Source organism: Homo sapiens, chromosome 14 (assembly GCF_000001405.40).
Source record: "Homo sapiens chromosome 14, GRCh38.p14 Primary Assembly".
Classification (NCBI taxonomy): Eukaryota; Metazoa; Chordata; class Mammalia; order Primates; family Hominidae; genus Homo; species Homo sapiens.
Genome location: NC_000014.9, coordinates 83,228,048 through 83,234,326, shown reverse-complemented (window position 1 = coordinate 83,234,326; position 6,279 = coordinate 83,228,048).

Sequence of the window (6,279 nt, the reverse complement as noted above, 5' to 3'; positions counted from 1 at the left end):
TGAACTGAGTGTCCTTTTAGCATTCCTGAAACGTCCTCTTGAAGATTTTTAATGCATTCTAGAACCAAGGTTAATGCTTTTTTGTTTTTTTAATGAGAACTTCTCTAGGTTTATCTACATTTAAAGAGGTAATTAGTAAAAGAGCTTGTCCTAAAAGTTGCTCTCTTGGAAATCAGTCTAGAGTATGTCCTATGGCACAATGATGCCTTAAATAATGATGTTGCTGCAAATCAACCTTCTCCAGTGTATCACTGCCACTTCATTTCTGTTCCACCTTTAGAAGTTTCAGTAACAGTAGAAATTTTACACCTTTCGTGGATCATCAAGATCTGTGGCTAATTTATTACCATCATTTTACTGATCGCGGACCTCCAAATTCACCTAAGGGGTTATCTTGCATATTTTTAGGTCAAAACAATTTCAGCCAGATTCTCTTATTCTATTCTCCTCCCATCCTAACACCCTTGAACAGATTTATGTTATCCCTTCAAACACAAAATCATATTAATGTCCATCAGGTTTAATAAAAAGCTATTTTCAAAGCTATAAACTTAATTGATTGTGATATAATTATCAGTGCTATTAATATTTTCTATGCTTAATGTCATTGATTTTATTGCCACAAACTTAGCTTGCAATGAGAATAACACTGACAGCTATGAGTGTATGTGTGTGCATGCATGCATGTGTGTATGTGTTTAACACATTGCTTTCTGTATCAATATATCAATGGATGTGGCAGGTTCTAATGAAAAGAAAAGAAAACATCTAAAAGAATTTCTGCACTACCTTTATAACATTTTGTCTTCATCTGTGAATATATTTTCGGTGAAAAAATACAATGACAGCCTAAAAAATGCCCCATGCATTTTTCACTAGAGGAAGAAGTCTGTGAATTGCAGAATGGATGTTCAACCACACAAAGACTCACAGGATTCACTCTTATTGCTTTTTTCCTGTGGATTGTAAGTTTATGAAGTATAGACTAGCATAGTACTTTCTCAAGTTTTGTTAAAAAATTTAAATTTCACTTAAAAAGTGAAAGGTACAAATGTTCCTTTGTGTCTCAAATGCAGATCAACAACATTAAAAGCAATAGAAATGTATAATGGAGAAATAACTATGGAAAACTTTTTCCTTTTTAACTTAAAATTTACAGCTTGATCCCTAGGTACCTTAATGGGAAGCAACTTGGTTCAGTGGAATTAACAGAGTCTGGTAAGTTACCTATTGGACAGAAACAGGCCTAATTAAAAGAGTTTGTCAATAAAACATTTAAAAATAGATTTTAAAAAATTAAGAATAAGCAATTGATTTACTCTATTTTTTCAGAATAGAATAAAGAGGCACATTTCACTGTGGGGCTTATGTGAGCTTTCTTGTTCCTGATTCTGTTGCATGAAAGTAGAGATTTCTTTAAAGGGGATCATGGAGGCTTGGAATGACCGCAGAGACCAAAGCCATAGGACATTTCAAGAAGTAGCTTCCTTGACGTTAAAGACAAAAGCCTAGATTAACTGACCTCAAAGTAGAAAAGACTTTTACAGATAATCATTTTAACAATATATGAACTTGTTTTTAGCTTTGAAATACACGTGTCTCTTAAATGAACACATATGGGCAAACAAAATGTTTCAGGTGAAAGCTAGAATTGTTCTTCATGAAATAAATAATGGAAGGCCAGAATTCTATCTTTTCAGCTTCCTCTACCATCTCCAAGGTGAAATTAAACTCTTTCCTGGGGCTTTTAGCAGGAAAAATTGAAAAACTGCAAATCCAGACCAATTTCTTAATTTTATAGTTGAAGAAACTGAAGCCCAATAAAGATTAAGTGACTTGGTCAAGGTCATATGGGTAGAGACTGAACCAGTACTTGAATCCTTGTCTTTTACGGAAACAGCCAGGGGCCTTGTCTTTCACAGAAACAGCCAGGGGCATGTCTACAATTCTGTTCCCCAACACCAGAATTTTGTGCAAAGTATTTATTCAGCATAATTAGTTTATAACTTCTTGTGGGCTAGTTGGAAACTTTGGACCTTTGTTTTATCACTGAGACTTCCTATTGTCTTTTAGTCATTTTACCATTATATGTTGATTTCATTGAAAATTACAATTATGGTATAATCCCAACATAAGAAAAATGAAAGAAGCTTGGCTATTGAAATAGGGAATGTACAATGATTCAATTACATATTGAGGGTAAGTAGTATTAGCCACAGTGTACTAGGTGCAGTAAAACATAAAAATGACTCTCCCCAAAGAAGTTACAGTATTTACAAGGAGATTAAAAGCAATTCTACGTGAGAGAGAGGGGGAAAAAAGAAACATTATTGTTAAATTGAATTTTACTGAATGCCATTGTGATAGGATCTCATTGAAGAGAAGGCTGAATAAGACAAGGAAGGTTATATGTTCAATGTTATAGTTGAGATAAGCCTTGAGGATAAAATGGAAACTAAATAAAAGAAAATCAAATATATCATTTTCAGCTTGAAGAATAACATCTTAAAACATCAGATGATAAATACAGAAATACTTCATAAACCAAATATAGAGTGTAGCCTAGTGAGTGGCAATAACTCTTACAGCTTTAAGATATAGATTTCCAGGAAGGTGCCATGATTTTTCTACATTTTATTAATTTCTAATAATGCAGTATGTGTCCACTGATTCTCTTTAACAATTATGAACAATGTTAATTGGTAATCCTCCTATGTTGGATTAGTCTACCTGGCTAAAAATTCCTGTACCTCTCCTCCTTATCCACACTGATGTTTGAGGGCTGAAGAAACGATTTCACCAACTTTAAAACAAATTTAAAATTTATTTTTAGTTGGATTCTTCCAATGAAATGTGGAATTATTATGTTCAAGGTCACTTGTACTTGGCAAAAAAGCACAATATCCTGCTTTTAGAAAAGTGGCTTAAAAAATAGTTCTTTATAAAATCCTTAAAAGGTTTCTTGAAATTCAAATAGATTTTACAAAATAACAACTTAATGATTTCAGAATAAGTACATGAGAAATTAGAAGATTAAATTTCCTTCAAAAACATGCCTTGGCAAATTAAAAGCCAAAGTGTTCAGGGGAAAAATATGTTTTAGGTCTTAACAGACCCAAAGTATTGTTTTAATAAGTCAGGCAGTTTTGAACCCTGATTCAACAAGTTTTATTTATTTTTAATCTATTTAGAATTAGATTTTAAAATATCTCCTTTCTACCTTACTTCAACCTTCATCTAAGTACACATGTAGAATGGAATGACAGTCACACAACCTCCTTTTACTTTAAAAAAATTTTTAAGGTAATTTAGTCAATGTAGACAGGCAAAACAGACAATTCGGGACCACTTATTCCATACCAAAACATGCATTATTTTAATTGCCTACTCTAAACTATTTAGCTGATACTGATATTTATTTTTTAAATGCAGCAATTCGGAACATTTTTTCTGCAGATTTATTTAACAAACATGCATTTGTCCCACTCGTATTGTCACGAGAGAAAGCTCTAATGAAAACTTACAGTTAAAAATCATAGTAAAGTCATCCGAATGCATGTTTTCCTCCAATAGTTGTCTTTTGTTGAGCACCACAAAGAAAGCATGTTGCCATGTTCCTTCTCTTCAAGAGGTTTGCAAGTGGTATTGGCATTATAGTGTTCAATGATCAGAGAGTTTTCATTTCAACAAAACATGAATATCCTATTTTTGAAGGAAAAAAATAAAACTCTATACAAAAGAAAAAGGTTTCTGTACTAATTGTTCATCTACACTTACTCAGGCATTCCTTAATTACCTAAAAAATACTTTTTAAAGTTTACTTTTATAGACATTTATTACAAAATCAGAACAAACTAACTTTTAAGTTTACCTTACAAAGAACATAATGTCTTTTACAGTTTTATAAAGTTAAATTTACAAACTAAAATCTCCGTGCTTTTTTTATTTCTTTTTTGTTATATCTCTTCGCAACATAAAGTACAATAATTACATTTTTAATATTAATTAGTTTCCTAGAATATAAAGATAAGAATATTTGAGGCTTTTCTATTGGAGCTAAAATATTAATGTGAATATTTCACCAGGAAAAATATTTGAGATACACACAAAACATACAAAAATAAAGTGTAGAGATTAGGTTTAAAAAATCAATATATTTATTGAGAGATAAAAAATTTGTTTTACCAAAAATTTGGTAAGTCTCAATTCAGCATATTCTTAGACATTCTCATCATGTATCCTAGGTTGAAACACACAGAAAAAAGCTTCTACAAGATAGAAGTTAAAATAAGATAGCTCACCTTTATGAGGGTGCACGTTTAGAGAGCTCACCATTGTACATCTGGCAAATATGATTAGGGGCTTTTATTTCAGCAATAGAAAACAATTACTATCAATTTTTAAACAACCGTTTTATAAGAATTTAGAGTATATAATAACTATTTGCATATACTACCAAGAATAGGGCAGGTTTTGCTCATTTAGATTTTCATGCCATGCCAGTTACTTTGTGATTTGTAACAAGGCTACCACCATGAATGACAAAGCACCTGCTACTGCTACTGCCTATTCTCATCCTTATGAGAGTGCCTGTCTTTGCTGCTGCTAAAGATCACATTACATATAAGCTTCTGTATTTGAAAAGGCCAGTGGAAAGCAGTAAACTGAAAGGTCACACCTGATGTGACTCAGAGAATGAAAATACTTCAGTTGTTGCTAATTAAGTTATCTTCTATCTTGTCAAATCTACATGCACTTTGAAAATTTGCATTTTACTGAATGAAAAGACCCAGTCTGCTTTGAGCACATCTTTAGCATAGTTTCTGACTTTAAACTGAATTGTGGCCAGGCGCGGTGGCTCACGCCTGTAATCCTACCACTTTGGGAGGCCAAGGCGGGCGGATCACGAGGTCAAGAGATGGAGACCATCCTGGCTAACACAGTGAAACCCCGTCTCTACTAAATATACAAAAAAATTAGCCGGGCATGGTGGTGGGCACCTGTAGTCCCAGCTACTCGGGAGGCTGAGGCAGGAGAATGGCATGAACCCGGGAGGCGGAGGTTGCAGTGAGCCGAGGTCACGCCACTGCACTCCAGCCTGGGTGACAGAGCGAGACTGTCTCAAAACAAAAACAAACAAACAAAAAAAAAACAAACTGAATTGTGCTTACTCCAGCATACAGACACATGGGCATGTCTGGTAAATTAGTAGTGCAGATCCTTCATGGTTGTGTAGGAGTTAAGAAGTCACCTGGTAAGTTAGAGAATGATACTGGGGAAAATTGTATTATTCGGGGCGCCTTCTCAACCTCTTAGCAAAGATTTATTTCTGATTCCTATATGAAAGGAAAGTGTATCTGAGAAATACTAAAAGAAATCAGCAAAAGAAATGTGTCGCTGAAATCTCTATGGGCCATTGGGAGCAACAGCCTCAGAGACCTAATAGTGTTAACTAACAGAAATGTTGGAAATATTGCCTATAACTTTGAGTGGCATTGACGTATTGGCATGAACATTAGTAAGTCTGAGAGTGAGAACAGGTATAGAAGAAAATAGTGGATTGCAAAGAAATACCTTCGAAGATTTCTAGAAATTTCTAAGTGAAGCAGTTATTGTAGTTGTGTTTGGGGCAAGAGATATAGACATTTGCATGTGAAACATAGAAATGTCTACTTGCAAACATATATAAATGTTTATTCATCTCAAGACACATATAAATGTTTATTCCTCTCCAGACAAATATAAATGTTTATTCATCTAAATGGTGCATATTCTTGTATTCCTAGAATGATTTTTAAAAATCTTAGAGGTGATTCAGGTCAGCTTCTTTCTATTGGAAACAAGGAAACTGAAATGAAGATAGGTCAAGCAACTTTTCAACTTTATCAAGTCCTCTTAGCCACTTAAAACTGCAGCTAGACTCTAACTCCCTTCTACCTCTGAGCTTGTTTCACTACATAGCATTGCTTTCAGTAGAAAATTCAACTCCACAAGTGTTTGTGAAACCCCTCCTGTGTGAAAAGCATTAAGCCTTGTATTTAAGTTACTTTTGTGAATTAAGTGGTACAATTTTGTAAGAAACATCAATTCAAGAACCTCACATTGTCCTGGTGTGCAGAATAGCTTTCTGTAGTACTCTGTTTACCTCTAACTATGAAATCAGCTTATCATGGTATTGAATTTTTTCCTATAAGTAACTGAAGCGTGGTGAAAATCTGGAGATGAAGCACACAATGGGAAGCGGAAAGATACAAAAATGTGTTCATACTTTAGCAGTAG